The sequence below is a fragment of the Homo sapiens genome, chromosome 2 (assembly GCF_000001405.40).
Source record: "Homo sapiens chromosome 2, GRCh38.p14 Primary Assembly".
NCBI lineage: Eukaryota > Metazoa > Chordata > Mammalia > Primates > Hominidae > Homo > Homo sapiens.
The window spans coordinates 18,761,791-18,782,997 of NC_000002.12; the positions used below are offsets into that span (position 1 = coordinate 18,761,791).

The 21,207-nt window shown below is 35.9% G+C and overlaps 1 long non-coding RNA gene across 8 annotated transcripts in view, besides 1 other annotated feature; it reads left to right on the forward strand.

Moving 5' to 3' along the window:
* The window catches only part of LOC105373456 (uncharacterized), a 529,181-nt gene that overhangs the window by 201,615 nt on the left and 306,359 nt on the right, over positions 1-21,207 (forward strand). The window lies entirely within an intron of this gene.
* Positions 15,472-16,241: an enhancer, noted in NCBI's record as "NANOG hESC enhancer chr2:18958528-18959297 (GRCh37/hg19 assembly coordinates)". NCBI's record gives its function as "activates a minimal SCP1, AML or CMV promoter by ChIP-STARR-seq in naive and primed H9 embryonic stem cells {active_cell/tissue: H9 hESC(naive and primed)}" and the evidence as "EXISTENCE:reporter gene assay evidence [ECO:0000049][PMID:30033119]".

A 21,207-nucleotide genomic window follows, 5' to 3' on the forward strand; every position in this document is an offset into this window, starting at 1 on the left:
TGGAAATTAAATTGCTCCCACATCACAGAACTCATAACTGGTAAAAGCAGATTTTTAAAAATATGACTGTCTGATTCCAGTACCTGTGTTCTTAATTGTTCACAATAGTTATTAAAAGAAAATACTGTTATGCCTATTTCATAAATAAGATTTTGATCTAGAGAATTTATTATCTTTCCAAAATTTCTTTATGACTAGTAGGAGGAATAACCAGAGTTTTACGATAACATCTCCAGGACTCTATCCATTATACTTCCAGGATAAATTACGCCCTTTCCTAACTTGCAAAGTATTGTTTTGCTCTTTCAGTTTTCTTTACCAAATTGTTTTTTAACTGATTAAATATTTACTTCCAGGATATATTATGCCCTTTCCTAACTTGCAGAGTATTGTGTCGCTGTTTCAGTTTTCTTTACCAAATTGTGGGTTAACTGATTAAATATTTACCATATGCTCCATGCAAATGTAATATGTAGTGTTAAAAATACATTTTCAGCATTTCAGCATTGAATTACAAGTTGAAGCCACTTAATCCAACTGCCTTATTTAGCAGTTGCAGGTGATGCTCAAAGAAGCTGAGTAACTTATCCAAGCTTACAATGCTAATTACTAAAAAAACTGTGTTAAACCCAGTTGTCAAATGCTTTTATTTAATAAAATACTTCTCAAATGACTCATTGTTAGCAACTTAAGCAATATTTTTTTCTAGAAGGTTTGTTTTCCTGAAAATAACTTTATAGGATATATAGTTTTCTTAAAAGTAAAATTTCTGTATGTCAGATTTTCTTTTCCATAATAGAATAGACTTGTTTTCTGACAAATGTATTTTGGCCCCCTAAAGCACAATAAAGACTACACAACATAACAAACTCACAAATATGTATGTTATTTAAATATAAGTGTTTCTTTTCCTGCTAAAGCATATGTGACTCTGAAAAGAGATAGCATCAATACAGCCCTGCAACTAAAAATACCACAAATCAGAAACAACGTTCTTCTCTTCTTGATCCACTGAAGAGAGGCTGTGTTCTGTGTGCTGTCTGTTTCCTTAAACTCATTCTTGGGTTTTATCTCAGTTCCAAGGTAAATATTCTTTAAAAGTCCAGATCTCTTAGCTGTTCTGTTAAAAGGTTTATCTTGTGCATGTATTGCTTGTTTATTTAGCAACCCTATGAGTCTATTGAAGTGTTGGTTTAGTGGTCTTTCTAAATTACTTATGGTGAGAGCCAACTAATCTTTGGTCACAGTGCATTTCAGGCTCTGGAAATCACTATGCTGATTGCTTATATTTCCAATTGGAAATTTCTACAAGGTGCTCAAGCTTACATTTACGTTATATCTTCAAACACCTTTGTACAAAGAGAAATGAGTGGATCTTATTTCCAAAGGAAAGTTTGGAAAACCAATGTGCCTGGGATAAGGGAAAGAATTAATAACTTCCTTTTTCATACTTTCTTTTCTGTCCTTTTAAAAAATTATTATTTGTTGAGGTGAAAGTAGGGAAGACAGGGGCTTTAATCAAGCACTCGTAAGAAACTGGAAAAGTAATAAAGACAGGAGCAAAATAAGAAAAGTCACAGAAAATATGTCTTGTAAGAAATGTCAACAAAACAGGGGAAATGCAATCTTTGGCTCCTCATCCTATCTTAAGTCTTGGCAGTTTTACAATTCAGGGCAAATGACCAGCATACTCTGAGCTATACTTCTCTAGTTAACAGAAGGGCCTCAGTACTTTTAAGAAAAGGGAGTGTTCAACTTCATCTTTGAGGGCAAAGATTAGAATCATAGAATGTTAGCACTCAAAAGGAATTCATAGATCATCTGCTTTCTAATCCAATCTCTTTGTTTCACAGCTGAGGTCGCTCTGAGGCCAAGAGAAAGGATATAAGTCTTCTGCAGTCATACAGTCAGTTAATGGCAGGCATTGATTAAAATTCATCAAAATCTTGGTTCTCAGACTACAATGTCAGCAATCATGTATTAAAATGCAATTTAAAAAAATCCAAGCTACTTAACTTGGCTTACCTCATCTCCTGTCACTCTCCTTGTTATTCCCTCTGTTCCTGAAACATTGGTCTTCTTCTTGATCCTGGGACACACCAAGACGTCTCCTATATTCAGATATATGCAGTGGCTATTCTCTCAGTCTGGAGGGATGCCTTCTGTCCCTGTCTATGTTACCTAATTATAGGTGTTTCTTGTCAGTTAGATCTCAGTCTCAGCCTAAATGCCATCTTCTCTGTGAGCTCCTCCTTGACTAGGCAATGCTAACATGATGCTCAGGGTCTCTTTATCACATCATCGTACTTCTTTTCTTAGCATAACATTTACCACAATCCATTTTTTGTTGTTACTATTCCCTAGTGCAAGTAAGCCCCATGAGTATATTAATCTTGTTTGTTGATTGTGTTCTTTAATGCCTGGGGCACGACAAACACATAGTAGATGTATAATGAATACATATTAAAGAAATATAGTTGACCCTTGAGCAATATGGGTTTGAACTGCCTGGGTCCACTTACATGTGGCTTTTCTTTTGTCTCTGCTGCTTGTGAGACAACAGGAGCAACTTTCCTCTTTCTCCTTCTCCTCAGCCTATTCGATGTGAAGACTATGGAGATGAAGAATTTTATAATGATCCACATACAGTTTATAAATAGTAAATATATTATATCTTTCTTATGATTTTCTTAATAGCATTTTCTTTTCTCTAGCTTACTTTGTTTAAGAATGCAATATATAACATGTAAAATATGCGTTAATCTACTATTGGTGTTATCACTAAGGCTTCTGGTCAACAGTAGGCTATTAGTAGTTAAGTTTTTGGAGAGTCAAAAGTTATACATGGATTTTCAACAGCCCAGGGAGGTTCGTGCCCCTTTTCCCAGTGTTGCTCAAAGGTCAACTATACATACATAAATACATAAATAAAATAGTTGGAAATATTGAAAAAGATATCATCTATAGTAGACATTAGTTTTAAACACACCAACTTCACCATGCTCTGTGCTTTATTTTGATATTAAAACTTACTAAATTTGTGTATTTCAAAATAATATATAATACATAAATTTATATATGCAAATTCATGCATATATAAACACATAATCTTCAATGATTGGACCCTCTCTACATAACCAAATACTGACATAAAAAAGGAAGAGTGTTGCACATTTTATGACTTTTATTGCATAGAAAATATTTTTTTCTGAGAGTTTTTGAATTCTTTAAGAATTCTGGCACTTTCTAAATGCAAGTGTTTGGTGGTGTTATGAACAGAACAGTTTGATGACTATGGGAGGTTGAGAGAGTGATTATGTCTACTCTTCATCAATAGCTTCACACTTGAGGCAGCCTGGAGACATAGGAGGCTCTAATGAGGATAATACTCACCATCTTCAAGTTGCTAAACAGTCTAAGATGCTGATTGTCTTTTTGCCTGAAACTTCCTTGATGTGGGAGAGATGTTTACATTTCTTGACGTCCTGCCTTTAACTTGACAGGTTTAGGACAGCCTGGGTGGGAATAGAAACACACTGGAAGGAGTGGTAAAAACCCATCTTCGCTATTCCTGCCTCTCACTGTTCATCCGAGCCCTGATGAGACACCTATAATTAGGCAACATAGACAGGGACAGAAGGCATCCCTCCAGACTGAGAGAATAGCCACTGCATATATCTGAATACAGGAGACGTCTTGGTGTGTCCCAGGATCAAGAAGAAGACCAATGTTTCAGGAACAGAGGGAATAACAAGGAGAGTGACAGGAGATGAGGTCAGCCAAGTTAAGTAGCTTGGATTTTTTTAAATTGCATTTTAATACATGATTGCTGACATTGTAGTCTGAGAACCAAGATTTTGGTGAATTTTAATCAATGCCTGCCATTAACTGACTGTATGACTGCAGAATACTTTAATTTGAGAATTGTAAAGACACTGTTAGTTGCATAAGTACAACTTCTTGTCAGTTACTCAGTTTTACATATTAAATATCTAATTTTGTTCTAACCTGAATACCTTATACTTGGTCTTAAATGTGGAGAACTAGAGAACAGAGGAGACTGACACATGAAAGTCAAAAAGAAGGAGGGTCTGTCTTGCTTTATCTATTGGGAATCTTGTTTTGAAAGAAAGAGAGAGAGTGGGCAGGACCCCTGTCCTGGAAAGAACAAATGAATTATTTTGCTCATAGAGGGTCATGAAAAGATTAAAATTATAAATCTCTAAGTGACAGTCACATTCCTAGCTGTCAAGCTGTCGTTGGGGCAAAATTTTCTTTACCCCATGTTACCAAAATGCTGTTTTCTCCCCAGCACTAGAGAGGTACTCACTAAATCATGACCTACTGACAAGAAACCTATTAGTTCCATAAAGAGAATGATGTACTCTCCCCATAGCACCACTGTCTCCATTGGGATCCAGCTGGAGTCAGACTAATATTTCAGCATTATTTCTATAAACAGAAGGGACACGTAGAGCCAGATGCTTGCTTTTCTTTTTAAGAAGGATAAATGCTTAACACCAAAATCACAAGCAACAAAATAAAAAAGAGATATGTTGAATTTCATCAAAGTTAAAAATGTTGTGTTTCAAAATACATCAAGAACATGAAAAGATATCCACAAAACTGGAAAAAAAATTTTTGTGGATCACATATCTAATAAGAGACTTATACCTGGAATATAAAAAGATCACTCAGAACTCAATAGTAAAAAAGAAAACCAGATAAACATGAGCAAATGATCTGAATAGATATTTCTCCAAATAAGATATAAAAATGATCCATAAGCACAGGAGAAGAGGCTTCATATCATTGATTCCTGACTTCATGTTCTTACTGCTCCTGATCTAAGCAACTGCTAATCTGTTTTCTGTCTCTACAAATTTTTCTATTCTGATTATATTATATAAATGGAATCAAACAATATGTTTTTTGTCTGACTAGTTTATTTCATTTATTCATCCATGTTGTACTATGTAAAAATATTTTATTTTATGGTCAAACAATATTCCTTTGTATGGATATATCTCATTTTCTTTATCCATTCATCAGTTGAGGGACCTTTGGGTTGTTTCCACTCTTTAGCTAATATAAGTAAAGTTGCTATGAACATTCATATACAAGTTTTTATGTAGTTGTATGTTTTCATTTGTCCTGGATATATACCTAAAAGTAGAATTTCTGGGTCATATGATAACTTTATGTTTAACTTGCTAGGGCCAAACTCTTTATCAACATGGCTCAAACATTTTACATTCTTGTCGGCAATGTAGGAGGGCTCCATTTTTTCCACATCATTGTCAATACTTGTCATCATCTGGCTTTTTTATTATACCCATCCAAGTGGATGGGAAGTGATATCCCATTACAGTTTTGATTTGTATTTACCCAATAACTAATGATGTTGGGCATCTTTTCATAAGCTTATTGGCCATTTCTATATTGTCTTTGGAGAATTTTCCATTCAAATTCTTTCCCATTTAAAAAATATGTTATCTGTCTTTTTATAAATGAGTTTTAAGACATTTTTGTATATTCTGAATACAAATTCATTGTCATATATAAGATTTGAAAATATCTTCTCCTATTCTGTGGGTTGTCTTTTCATTTTCTTTATGACATAGTTTGCACTGTAAAGATTTTAAATTTATGTAGCCCAATTTGTCTATATTTTCATTGTCACTTTTGCTGTGGTTTCATATTTAAGAAATCTTTCCTTAACCCAAGTTCACATAGAATCATTTCCTTTATTATAATAATTTTATAGTTGTAACTGATACTTAGGTATATAATTTATTTTGGGCTGGTTTATATATGATTTGAGGTTGGGGTCCAAATTATTGATATGACTGGATTTACATGTGCCATTTTGCTTTTTCCTCCTATATGTAATGTAACATTTTAATTGCTTTAGTGATGTTTAATTATATTTTTTAGTTATTTTCTTAGCGATTAATCTCAGGTTTACCATATGCATCTTAACTTCTTAGATTCTGTACTCTAGTACAGCACCACTTTCTCCCTACCTTTTAAAACTTTTACTTTCATGTATCTCGTGTTGATACATATTATAAATCTAAAATATATTGTTATAGTTATTACTATTATATCCTTTAAATAATCTGAGCAAAGAAAGGATAGCAAATATATATGTATAATGTTTGTTAAATTGACTATCTTATCAACCCTTCCTGGTTCTTTGCAGTTTTTTCTGTGGGTTTGAGTTACCAACTGTTGTCATTTTTGTACGTCAATATAACTAATTATTGTCACATAAGTACATTTCTATGTATTTTGGCCCCAATGATATAAATTATTTACATGTTGACTTATGCTTTTTAAATCAGTCAGGAGAAGAAAGGAGAAGAAATATGCAATTATACTATTTTTTTTTTACAAAACTATCACTACTAATATTTCTTTTTCATATGTATTAAAATTACCAACTGGTATCTCCTGCTTTTAGCCTGAAGAACTTCTTTTAGTATTTTACATATTAAAAGTCTGCTAGCAAAAAATTCGTTCAATTTTTGTTTACCTGGGAATATCTTTATTTTGTCTTCGTTTTTCAATGATAGTTTTACTGAATATAAGATTCTTGGTTGACATTTTAACTTTCAACATTTTTCCCCCTACCTTCTGGCTACTTTGTTTCTGATATTTTAGCTATTAATCTTATTGTGGTTCCCTTATATGTACTAAGCCCTTTTTTGTTCTTGCCACTTTCAATATTTTCTCTTGCTTTGCTTTCAACTTCTGTTATGATGTGTCTGGGTGGATCTTCAATATAGTGGTATTTCTACCCAGAGAGGAAGTAGACCGTAAAGGAAAAGAGCTCTAGAGCTTGTCATGTTAGTCATTGTACTGAAGATGGGAATGGGATGCATTTTTTTCCTGAAGTTCCCCAACTCTACAAGTAAGTATAAAGTAGGTGAATGAGTAGGAAGATCATAGTCTCCTGTACTAGCTCCTCCTGATGTAGAACTTTTATCCTATGAACTAACTGAGACAAGGGCATTTGGGGGCCCATTATTCTTGGCCTCCTGGTCCTGGAGTAGCGTTTCTACCACAGAGATCTTGGGGAATTAGAAATGCCAGCATCCTTCCCCTCCTGGGGTGAAACCACAGACCAGTACTTATCGAAGCCCTGAGCTATGGGGCTTCTATACTACCAAGCTGGTGTGTGTTTGGCAGGGCGGGGCAATAATGGTGTGGATTGTAGCTAAATGCCACAGACTCTCCATATTCTTACTGAAAGTTGGTACAATTTCTTGCTTGAATGCCTCTCCATTTCCTGTATGGCCTTGGAACAATTTCTGGAGACTTTCAATATATAGTTTTTAAATTTCCACCAGTTAATTTTTTTTTCTGGAAGACAGGTTCATTGAGCTCCCTAACTGTATTCTCTCTGTCCTGAGAGACCTAATTTTAAAGTTAAAGCTAAATGGGGGAAATCACTTCTGTGTGCTTTTATATTTTTTTATTTCTCTTTTACTCACCTACTTTCATAGGCTCCCCACTGCCTGAGTCTACATTATTTATTCTAAGAGCCAAGGCCCTGCATAATTTGGTCTGTGAATTCTTTCCTAGTATCTGCAATATTTATATTTCATAACACCTTCACTTCATGCAAGTTGGTTCACTTATCTTCTGTTATTGTTCATATATTTTAGTCTTTGTTTATAACCTCTGTCTTTTTGGCCAAAGTATCCAAATTTGTCATTCATGGCCAATTCCTGATGGTCAGAGACCAGGAAAGTTAATAAGATTTCCCATTCACCGGAGCATCAGCACCATTTAAACCAGACTGTTCTGTGCTGGTCTTTAATATGTGCATGCCATATGTATCCAGCTTAGTTTTAAGCACCTCAATTAGAAAGTGTTTCTCATTCCATTTTGGCCTTAGAACACCTAGCCCAGGAATGATCGTACAGCAGGTATTAAATAATATTGTGGAGTGAATTCTTTGTACACGTTCACTTCCAGCTTAGAGATACTCCTTCTCTTCAGAGATACAAGCACAGTACTGATGAATTTCTACTTAAGTTTTAAGTACAAAAGGATTATGAGCTTTGCTCATTTTATGGTTCTTGACATAAAATGTATCTTGAATTTCACAGTGTGTGAATGTTCCCAGTTTTAGTTGCCTAAAACAAATTCCATGTTGGTGTAATTTTTCTAAAGGCCCAAGGAGTAAGATTATCAAGGAAAATATTCCTTGTCCTACAAAGTCATAAAATTCAATAAATGTTTATAAATATTCGAAACCAGGCATCACAGGGGATGTCATGTATTTACAAATTCAATCAGCAAAAACACCAAGTTTAGGACCTTCTAATCCAATGGAGAAAATTGTAGTAAGAAATAAGCAAAATCAGCACAAGTATAAGGCAAACCGTATCACTGGTACAATGTATCGTGGGTCCATGCAGTCCCTCAGTTGAGGAAGATGCTCATTGAGGAGATGGCACTTTTTATCCTCTGGGGCCTTAAAGAATAGACAAGCTTTTGGGAGATGAAAATAATAACCTGTAGCTTTCAAGCAAAAGGAAGAACAAAGGCCCACAGGGGAAATATAAGTTATTTTTTTTAAATTATGAGCATCCCATTATGTTTGTATCATAGGGTCCATGATAAGATACAGCAGGAAACCAGAATGGACATTTAAGTTGAACCAGATCCTGAAGAATCTTAAGTTGGCAAGTTGATAAGTTTTCAGTTTATGTCATTCTCACCATTAGGATACGATTGAATTACTGAATATTATAGAATCAGAGAGTGGCTGATTAGATCTAGATCTGTGCTGTTCAATATGGTAGCCACTAATCACATGTAGTTTCATTTGTAATTAAATACATTAAAATAAAATTAAAATTCAGTTCTTCAGTTACACCAGTTGCAATTTGAAATAACTACGTTTCAAGTGTTCAATGTGTGCCTTGAACCTCATATTAGTACAGAACATTTCTATCAGTGCAGTAATTTCTATCTTTTTTTTTTTTTTTTTTTTTTTGAGATGGAGTCTCGCTCTGCCACCCAGGCTGGAGTGCAGTGGCGCAATCTCGGCTCAATGCAAGCTCTGCCTTCCAGGTTCACACCATTCTCCTGCCTCAGCCTCCCAAGTAACTGGGACTACAGGCGCCCACCACCACATCCGGCTGATTTTTTGTATTTTTAGTAGAGACGGGGTTTCACCGTGTTAGCCAGGATGGTCTCAATCTCCTGACCTCATGATCCACCTGCCTCGGCCTCCCAAAGTGCTGGGATTACAGGCATGAGACACCGCGCCCGGCCTCAGTGCAGTAATTTCTATTGGACAACATTGTACTAGATTTTAGTATCTGATACGAGCATAAGGAAGGGTTGATGGTGTTTGAGAAACAGATGGGAGGATGGGAAAGAAGCAGTGTAACCCGTAGATTGTTCTCAAAGCAGTCCAGGTGAAATTAAGGCCTCAACCAGTGATGGCAACACAGGGAGAGCTGAGCAGACGACTGGGATACACATTTTGAATAGTGACAAAAAGATTCTATGACTAAATAATTACCTAGTAAGCATGAAGTAAGGAAGATAGAGAAACTAAAACAGAAGGTTGGCACACTCTTAGTGACTAGGTGAACTGGAATGCCATTCACAGAGATAAGACATACAACAGGAAGAGTTAGTTGACACAGGAAATAATGGTACTATATAGCAGTGTTAACTTTGGGTTCTGTATGGTAGAGACAGGTAGATACTTCCAGAAGAGTGGAAAGAATATTCTGGGAATTGTGACAGAAGGAAAGACTGATATCCAGTATTTCTTACATAGAAGTAATGGCTAAAACAATAAAGAAAGGAGAATAGAGTCAAAGAAAACACCTAGGGGTGTTTCACTATGTTTATTTCCCCTTTATTCAAATCTTGATTAAATAAATCTATGTCAAGATCGCAAAGTTTACTGGATACCGTCAAATGATTTGTGATATCAAAGTTTTCTTGCATGATACGATTGACTGAACTTGACTGAAGAAATGGAGTCAGAGATGACCCCAGGAAATGGAGCAGCATACGTGGCATAATCAATCTTTTAAGATCAAAATATAACTATTGAAATAACAACACATGTCATTACTCATGGATTTCTAACTGCTAACTTTTATATCTATATATCCTTAAAGGATGTTATTCCCTTAATTCATTTAGCAAGTATTTACTGATTATTTACAAAATGAACACATTTGGGGTTTACAAAGACTTCCACAACTCAGATCCATGTTCACAAGGATCTTACATTTCAGTGACAGGACACACATGAACACAAATAATCACAATACAGTGTGATCAGTGCTAGAGAAATATAAGTGTAGAAAAGCATTAAATGCCATTTGGGCATGCAGGAAAGAAACATCCTATCTGGTGGAGTCAGAAAAAGTTTCTCAGAGAAGGTGATTTCTGAAGTAGAAGTTAAAGAATGAAGAGAGGCTGGGCGCGGTGGCTCACGCCTGTAATCCCAGCACTTTGGGAGGCTGAGGTGTGGGTGGGTAGATCATGAGGTCAGAAATTCGAGACCAGCTGGGCCAATAAGGTGACACCCAGTCTCTACTGAAAATACAAAAATTAGCCAGGCATGGTGGCACGCACCTGTAATCCGAGCTACTCAGGAGGCTGAGGCAGAAGTATTGCTTGAACCCAAGAAGTGGAGGTTGCAGTGAGCCTAGATCACACCACTGCACTCCAGCCTGGGCAATAGAGGGAGACTCCATCTCAAAATAAAGAATGAAGAGAAGCACACATGCTGAGACACCAGTGCAGAAGGCCTTGGTTCACTCATAACACAGAGGCCAGGAAAGACAGCCATATTCTGATCACCCTTTAATGTCATTCTAAGGAGTTTGGTTTATTTTAAAGGGAATAAAATAAAGGAGAATTATTCAAGGACTTAAAGATATGAGATTATGTTGTCAGAGTCTCATTTTAGAAAGATACCTAGTAGCAGTGGGGCAGGTAGATGGTAGAGAGGTGATATTGGAGGGAACACCACTTAAAAACCTGCGGGTAAATGCTACACTTGAAGGGGACTAGTAAGAATTTGAGTCTAGAGATATTTAGGGGTTAATTAATACACTCAGTATTTATAAGACTATAGAGATAAGTTAGAAGGAGACTGTGGGATGATTCCGTAGTGGCTTTGGAGCCTAGGCAAAAAGAGGTACCATTGAAGCAAAACATTCTGGGAGAAGAAGTAGGTGTATCATGAAGATGAGTTTCAGCTTGGTAATGCTGAGTTTGAGGTTCCTGTGGGAACCTCAGTTTGAGATCACGCAGGGAGACATGTGAACTCAGAGATAGGGCTCAAATATTGTTTGAATATTATCTTTTATCTGTACTGAATGAAATATTTATTCATTCTCTATACATTGTTCATTTAGGGTTCCTTATTTTTTTCAATTTCATGAATAATGTCATGGCCTTAAGATCTGATGCTGCCAATGGGAGGTAAAATGACATTTTTGGAGATGCCACAAAGTGGGAATGGATATGGAACTTTGTAGCACTTCAGGTTTCCATAACTTGAATCTTACATACTTTCTCATTCTGGAACTTCCGTGAGAGATATTTTACTAAACGCTTTCATCTTATAAAACATTCTCTCTTGTCTTTCTCTTTTCCTCTGTCCTTTCCTCCCTTCCTTCCTCATGACCCTCACTTTTCTCTTTATTCAGATCCTTTTCTGTTTGGACCTGCTTGAAAGCTAAATTTCATTCCTGGACATATTCCTAAACCTCCTATTACTCTACCACCTCAACCAGTGCATGACAGCCCTTAGAAAACCAGCAATTTAGAGGTAGATGGAAACTTAGTGAATATCCTGAGTGAGGCCCTGATTTTGATGAGTTAAAAACTGAAGTTCAAAGAGGAAGGGATTTGTACCAAGTTACATCACTAGACAGTGACTTGCATGCATATTTGATTATCTAAATCATTTTAAGTTCAATTCTTTTGGAAGTGTTTTCTATTTGTAGTATAAATATATATCACAAGTTTTTAATACTTGATACATGGGCTGGGCACCTGTAATCTCAGCACTTTGGGAGGATCACAGCGTCAGGAGATCTCGGGCGGATCATGAGGTCAGTAGATCAAGAACATCCTGACCAACACGGTGAAACCCCGTCTCTACTAAAAATACAAAAATTAGCCAGGTATGGCAGCGCAAACCTGTAGTCCCAGCTACTCAGGAGGCTGAGGCAGGAGAATTGCTTGAACCCGGGAGGTGGAGGCTGCAGTGAGCAGAGATTGCACCACTGCACTCCAGCCTGGGTGACAGAACAAGACTCCATCTCAAAAAAAAAAAAAAAAAGAAAAACTTGAAACACGGATTCTTGGTTGTAAATGAATTTACATTGCACATGAAGAAACATTCTGAGACTTGTTTTAAAATGTTTTCTCAGCCAGGCACGGTGGCTCACGCCTGTAATCTCAGCACTTTGGGAGGCTGAGGTGGGCGGATCACCTGAAGTTGGGAGTTCAAGACCAGCCTGATGAACATGGAGAAACCTTGTTTCTACTAAAAATACAAAATCAGCTGGGCATGGTGGAACATGCCTGTAATCCGACCTACTCAGGAGGCTGGCCTGAGGCAGTTCGAGAATCGCTTGAATCCAGGAGGTGGAGGTTGCAGTGAGCCGAGATGGTGCCATTGCACTCCAGCCTGGGCAACAAGAGTGAAACTCTGTCTCAGAAAAAAAAAAAAAAAAATGTTTCTCTAGCCTATTTAAACATTATCATGCTTGTGTATTCAATCAAAGAAATTGCATTTAGATTTCCTGATTAGTTGTTTTTTACAGTTTGTTGCATAAATGTAATGTTTTTCATATTTGACTGGTGGTATATTTAATCCATTTGAAAAAGTACTGATTTGCTAAATTATAAATTTAGCTTTATAAATGCTGCCAATTAATTAAAACACATTCTTTCTGATCATCAAATTAATACATATTTTTATATAACATTTGAAAATATTGAAAATTAGGTAGAAGATTTCAAAAGTCACCCCGGGCTTTATTATAATGATATAACATATAGTAGTTTACTGTAGGTCTCCATTTATATTTTCTCTGCATGTTCATGTGACCATTCTCTTGTAAACCAAAAATAAAATTCTAAGGCCTCCAGCCATCTAAGTAGACCCCTCCTTTTGGCCAAGGTGATTCAGAAGTTAACCTGAAAACCTAGTTCAGGCCATGATGCTAAGGGAGAGCTGGAAATGCCTCATTATCCCCTTCTCCCTTTTAGGATTACTGATAGAACAAGCTCTTTAAGTCTGATAAGAAATATTTATAATCTAGTCTCTCTGAAGCCTGCTACCTGGAGGCTTGATGTGCATGATAAAACCTTGGATTCTACAACCCCCTATCATAACACAGACATTCCTTTCTATTGATAATAGCTCTTCCAAATAATTGCCAATCAAAAAATCTTTAAAGCTACCTATAACCTGAAAGTGCCCCCCACCTGTTACCACCCTGCTTCATGTTGCCCTGCCTTCCTGGACTGGACCAATGCTAACCAATGTATATCTTACATATATTGATTGATGTCTCATGTCTCTAACATGTATAAAAGTGGGCTACACCCAAACCACCTTGGGCACATGTTCTCAGGATCACATGAGGGCTGTGTCATGGGTCATTGGTCACTCACATTTGGCTCAGAATAAATCTCTTCAAATATTTTACAGTTTGACTCTTTTCATTGGCACACTAAGACAATTTTATTCTTTTTTTCTAACCTAACATTTATGTTTCTATGATTTTTATCCTGATTTTAATAATTTTAATGGCTTGGTAATATTTCATCACATTTCTATACCTGATGTATTAATCTTTCAATGTCCTTTTTTGGACATTTAGGTTATTTTCTATTATTAATATTATAATGCTATAAAGAATTTTGTTGGGTGTCAAGTTTTGTCAAATTTTGGATATTGTTGCCTTGTAATAGATGTCCAAACATAGAAGCATTGGGTGAGAGGGACTAAATCTTTGTGTATGAGAGTGATGCTGTTGACCTGGGGTCAGCACCATATACATGCTATATATGACTTCTTAACAGTTTTAGTGAATATGGTCTGAACAGTCTCACTCTTGGGCTCCTCTGTGACCAGTAGAATACAGTTTGAGACAGTTGAGATAAGGGTACAGTTGGTGTCTGAGGAAGCCAACATTTTGCCTTGTTCAAGCTAACTTGCCCAGATGGGCCATAAACTTTGACTGTATTAGCACTGGAGTTACAATAATTAAGCTAATGAGTTCAATTGTCTATACTCCCAGAGTGTAGACTTCATAAATATATATTACAGTTACTCGGTCTACCTGGACATTTTTAGGATTATAAAATTTTGTAGTAGAAAAGTACCCTCAGAGACATTCTATCTAACTCCTACATTCTACAAACAAGATAATGTTAAAGAGGGAGAGAGGAATTTTGAAACAGTTCAGAGAGAGTCACAGCTGAAATTTAAGCCTCTTTATTCCCAGGTAAGAGATTTTAACTTAGAAACTAGGTAAGAATGAATAGTAATATCATTGAATGGGATTTCATTGAACCCTAGTGGTCTTTACTCCATTAAGAAACTTATCTGCCTCCAATTTCATTGATTCTTAGATACAGGTTAATATGGGTGAAGATAGATCTTGACTTCAGATTATTTGAGAAGCAAAGATACTAGAACATAATTTCTTCTATAATGTTATCTCTTTATTCAATTCCCAGAATTTGATATTCATAGAGGCACAAATTACAGGATAGTGTAATATTTCCCGTTACAGGAATGCAATATGTACAAGCCACAGTACTCACAGAGAAGGATGATGATGCAGATACAGACACAGAAGTTTTTGCCCAAAAGTAACTCTTAAGCTGGATCTTGAGGAAGAGAAGTAATTTGCCTTATAGACAGGGCAGTAAATAAAGGAAGAGTCTATGGAGAAGTGTGGAGATGTGACACTCAGCTGCATTCATTGTACTGTAAGGGGTGAATATGGCTGAGAGGATGACAGTGAGGCAGCTACAAAAAAGATGGTTAGGAAGCCAGGTCCCTAAGGACTGCAGGCTCAGAAGGGGTTCAGACTTTATTTGATGGGGAATGATAAGCCAGTAAATATTTCTAACCAGGGAACAAAAATCAATTTGCATATAGAATTGTAAAAGGTAGTTAAAATTGTTTAAGTTAACTTGCCACTGAGCAAACTGAATGTTTTACATCTCAATACAGTATTGAGTTGACATTTGCTATGGCTTCATTAATCAAGGGGGAGTTGACTGAGGTCATATTCAGTGATGTGTAATTCACTCTTTCTTTCATTTCTATGAACAGTAATATTTTTAGAAATTATAGCCCATTGTTTCATGAATGAAGTAGCCACAAGAGCTGCTAAAAGTAGTGCTTTAGTGAAATCCTTCTCTAGATGATCTTATGTCTGACCTTCTGTACTTTATCTTCCAAAGATCAGCTTGTGGTGTTAATTATGGGGTAAGTAAGCAGTTACTTCCTACAGCAAATCAGCCAAAGTCCAGGTTTGCTCTGGAGGTCCCAGGGATCAGAGCTCTGTGTTTCTTCAGGTTTCAATTTACCAGCCTCAAACCACTTAAAAGCAGGAGGAGGAGAGGCTGGGGAGTGATCGGTTTACAAGTGACCTGGGAGTTCACAGCTTTCATCCCTCCAAATCACAGTCCATATAATAGGCCTTGTGCAGATACAATTGGGACAAATTGACTCAGGCATCTTGCTTTCAGAAATGAAAACCTTTCTTCTCCCTTATCGGTGTCCCTATGTCTGAATTGTTGGAATCAAGCATTTGATGGAGGATGGTAGTTGTTGTAAGGTCAAATAGGGGATGTAAGTCCTGAATAAGAGGATAGGCTGTTAAGTGGCCCCCAGCTGTGTTAATTGGCTTAATAGGACTCTAGCTAGTTTAGGGACTTAAAAGTCAAGCCAGAGAAACAAAGCCTAACAAGGCTCCCTCTTTTTAGGCCAGTGAGAGATTCAACTAGAACAATTAACAGCTGGCACATCTTCAAACCAGGTTGCTGTTGTACCAAACATTTTTAGATATATCCTGTTAGAGATGCCTTCAGAATTTTTAAAATGTTTTCAAAAAGGGCAATATTTTCAACTTGGAGCTTGAAGTTGGCTTTCAGAGGCACTTTGAGTCCCGAGGAACCCAGGTTAGTGGGTACGATGATAATCATTGCCAGATAATCATTCTCTGCAAAAAGAAACACAATTTAAAAAGAAACACAATTTAAAAAGAGAGAGAGAGAATTCAGATTTATCTGAATGATTTGCAAGCAAGCTAGTTTTCATGACACTTTCCAAAGTAGAATAAACGTAGAATCTGAGAGGGATTGCTTTTTACATTAATTTAGAAATAGAAGGCTTATTTATTAGGAATTCAGTAGTCTTGCTTTAAAGTCGTATATCCTACAAACGATTTGCGCAAAACATCCTTAACACGTCTTTACCATCTGTACAGGCACTTCATAAAGTGACAAGTATTGTGAGGCCATTGCACTATCAAATTATGGCATGCTAGACGTATTAGAGATGAGTAGATGATCTAGTGACCGTATTTTCATGGTTCAATGCATTAATACTGAGAAAAATCACCACCATTAGTCCTTATCATTTACTGATTAATGGTAATTATTTTCCAATTCATTCTATTACTGGGATGAGCTTTCTGAAATTCAGTTCTAAACTTGACACGTTCCTATCTAAAACCTTTCAGTGGCTCCCTAGTGCCCCACAGAATATGCTTCTGTCTGCCATTTTCAAAGACTAGAATAATCTGCCCTGAATTAGTCTATCCAACATCCCCCAGTGAATGGTCCCTCCCCCAATTATGGCCCCTCATGGGCCATAACAGTAACAACCATCAGTAACTTATTTATCATTAGCAGCTTAGAAGCTGTGTTCTCTTGTTTTTTACTCACAGCAAGTCTGTAATATCAATGTAATTACTATTATTGTTGCTGTTTTAATGATAAAATGGGATTTAAGCAGGGTATAAAGTACATCTACTGTCTTCATCAAGCCCCCATGAAAATGAATATATATATGCGAGAAAGTATTTTCTTCTGATAATCCTAATTTATCCAAATGTTGAAATGGCTAGTTAAATGCATTTTGTTTTAAGATTAGTATTGTTACGTATTCTTTAAGCATGTGATACTGTACTACACTGCTTGGTGTAGTGACTAGTACTCAAACTATGAAAGCTATTATGATTATTTGTATACTTGAAAATGATTTTTTTTCTTTTGCTACACGAACATACTCCAAAGAATATTCTTCTATTATTTGATGTCAAGTACTACTTTAGCTCCATACTTTTCTCTTCAAGTTTATGATGAGAGAGATCTTTATTAACATCAGAAGACTGATACTTCCCTCAGAGGCTTTTGTGGTTTCACACCTGTTTACATATGATGGAAAATAAATATTACATTTATAGAAACTATGTTCGAGGAAATTATCTGAATTTTTCTAACTACTTCTATAGGAAGAGGGTTAGAGTAAAACCTATGAATAGACCTTTCCAGTCCTAAGGGTCTAAGAATTTTTCCCCATTCAATATTCACTAAATGCAGCATTAAGAACATAATCTTCTTTATGCTACTATCACTCTTCAACTTTCACATCTACAAAGAAATATATAAATTTTCTTTAAGTACCAAATGTTTTAGCTTAAGCCACATTTTAAACTAAGGCATTTATTATAAATTTCACTTATAATTATTAGTTTAGAGAATTTGTCTGTATTTAGGCATAGTCAATAAATATCAAATATGAAAAGGAGTGTATACTTGAAAGTATACTAGGACAGAAAATATAACTCTGGATTACAAAAATCACTTCAAGGAAAATATGTCTTGTAGGAAAATGAATCCATTGAAAACGAGCTACTGTAATTGTTCACAATAGTTATTATGTTTTACTATAAAAAGTAACTCAGCATGAGGCAGGAGGATGGCATGAACCTGGGAGGTGGAGCTTGCAGTGAGCGGAGATTGCACCACTGCACTCCAGCCTGGGCGACAGAGCAAGACTCCGTGTCAAAAAAAAAAAAAAAAAAAGTAACTCAGCATTTTTGGTAGTGTTACAATACTGTTGATAATTTGATAAATATTTTCAGAGGATTTTTTAGGCATTATATTTTGGGAGTATACCTCCCTATTGATGCATGTCACTATGTTAAATCTCTAAAATTATCAGAAACTGCCCAGTTGCCCATTTAGTCAAATGATATATAATATTATAAATATAACTTTTACGTATAATTTTTTCAAGATATATACAGATGTTTAATTTTTAACTAGCTAATAATATGTCACTTATTAGCAATTTAGTATTTTTATGTGCTTTTTTTATCATATAGTATGACTTTTGCACATTACTTGGCAAATATATTCTACATTTCACATTTCTAATAATCATTACACATTAAACAATTGTCTAAGGAATCTTTACTAGAGAATCATGGAGAATAGAAACTTCCTGCAAGTGACTTGGCATTTTCTAAGATTTTTTTCTTCCTTCCCCTCCTCTCCTTCCTTCCTTCTTTCATTCTTACTGTTTTTAGTAAAGTCACTTGACCACATACCTTCTGTTAGATCATAGTTTATTTCATTGTATTTAACATATTTTTGTTTTGTTCCTTAAAGTGTGGTACATGTAAACTTTTCAGATTCAGGACCTAGCAAACCCAAATAAACTTTCTGAACTTGTAGCCCCCATGCAGCCCTTGGCTGGGCGGTAATTAGATCATTCTGTATTACACTAACGGACTCAGTGTTTTTGTTGCCACAGGAGCCTGCAGGCCCCACCTGTCTGCTGGGGAGAGACAATCTCATAAAACTGCCAATACTATGATTTAGCTGAATACATGTTTGTTAATAAATCTTCCATCTTATTATAATCAAAGAGCTCTTTCAGTTTATGACCCATTTAATGAAGGATTTGGGGTGTCTGCTCATCAATTTGATGTTTTTAAAGACAAACGTAGGGGGTGTTCATTAGTGTGTGTTTAGCCCCTTGGCTCAGGTGAAAAGTGGAGCAGGATAGGTGGTAAAGGAAATGAGAGAAAATGTTCATTAAGAATAAACTTGTGGTGTGATCCACAAACACATTAGCTTTGAGCATAAATGTCTTGTGAGAAAAAGCAAAATTTTTTTTAAGCCTAATGAGTCTCTAGGATCTATAACAGTTCTTTATCAAAGGCCTTTTTCAGTGATGTAGCCAGCACCATTATCATCCAAAGAATTTGATGTGGTTCTCTGAGTTATGGGAGTGTAATTATTAATATGGTGTGAGTGAAATTCAGAACTTTCAAGAGCTTGCAGTCCACTAGTGTGCAATAATGGACATTCATAGCACCTTTCATGACATTAATGTTAAGTGTTCAGATCTCAATATTATGATTTATTTGTGGTTAAACTTACAGTTAGTCAAACTATTTTTTTGGTTTTCTTTCTTAATACATTCAGGGTAGATATAATTATTAGAGTCCTGGCATTATTTATTTTAAAATAATTGCATATATTTCTAGGGGTACAGTATGATGTTTCAATATATGTATAAATTGTGTAATTATATAGGATAATACATGACCTCCACTGAAATACACTGAAGATTTTAATCAATGAAAAACAAATATAAAGTGATATTATGTATGTATGCATATATATGCACATCCATATTTACACACACATACACACATATATATGTAATTTGCTAAAGCTATAAAGTACGTCACACCTTCTGCTAAAAAAAATCTTTAAAATTGTTACTTTCCCAAGGAACTCTCTGTCCTGTCAAAGCTTTTCTCTGTGGTCCAGTGCTCAGCTGCCATTGGACTCAGATCCAAACAAGTTTAGGGAAAGAGACAGTACACTGACCTTTGTTTCCTGTTTCCTTCCAACTCTAGAGCAAGTTCTATTTCAGCTCCACCATCAACAAATAGCTCTGAAAACCAAATAGACCACACTGTTGGAAGTCAGAGAGAGTGAGGTCAAAGAGAAGTCCCAAAAGAGGGAATATAACATCTTCTCATTTCCTTGGTGGAAATTTCCAGCCTTCACACTCATCCATCAGGATATCCTCCTTCTCTGCTCTTATCACTCAAATGTTTCATCTGTTCCAGTGTCCACCTGAAGATGACACAGCTGTATCAGGCTGGATGATCTTTTATGTTGTGTCTGCATTCATTGCTTTCTCTATTTCCTTTCCTTTGTGATATTTTCAGCATTAGGAAGTTTCACTCACTTTGACCATTGTTTTCATACATTTGGGTTTTAGACACAGGATTGTTTAATTTGAATCCAAAAGGATGGACAGGAAGGAAAGCAGACAGCAGAGATATCATTCACTTCCTAACTGAAATCATAACATTCTACTTTCATGACTTTGTCACACTACAGAAAAATGCAGGGCATTCATTTGAAGAAATGTAAACAGTAAGACTGTGACATGTTCTCTTCTTCAGGGTCTTCATTCAAAAGGTGAAGACTAAACTTGTTTTTGGAGGAGATTTTTGACTTTTCTGATTGCACATTCTCCTAATAAAGGCCAGATTTGGCTCAAAGTGAATGTGCAATTTCCTAGCACTAAAATTCTTTCATGAGTTGCTTAAGTATTAATAGAAATCACTCATTGCACTTTTTTGATAATAGGTCTGCAGAAATTAAGCTGCCTGATTGATGCTTCAACATTGCTACTGAAACTTTTGTATGTGTGTGTCTTGGATTTTGTTTTATTTCCTTTTTGTGCAAAAGCTCTGGTGCTAAACAGATCTGGTTATGAATATTGGCTTGGCCATGTACCAAATGCATAGCTTTGGGCACCATAATGAGCTTTCCTAAGTCATGGCTTCCTCACTACTATGTTGGGGATAAATAAATGTATGTTGTTTAATGACTAAATGAGAAGAATATACATTAAGTGCTTAACCCAATGCAAACCACATAATAAGCATTCATTTAAGATAGTTGCTATTCTAATTAGTGTCTATTGGTGTTGGGTTTTCTAGACTTTACATATTCCTTAGATGACTGCAATATACATGTAATGCAGTCTGAAATCCAGGCATCCATAGCTATTTTAATTATCATGTCAATAATTTCTATGATTTGTGTTTCTTTAATATGCTATACAACTTTTTA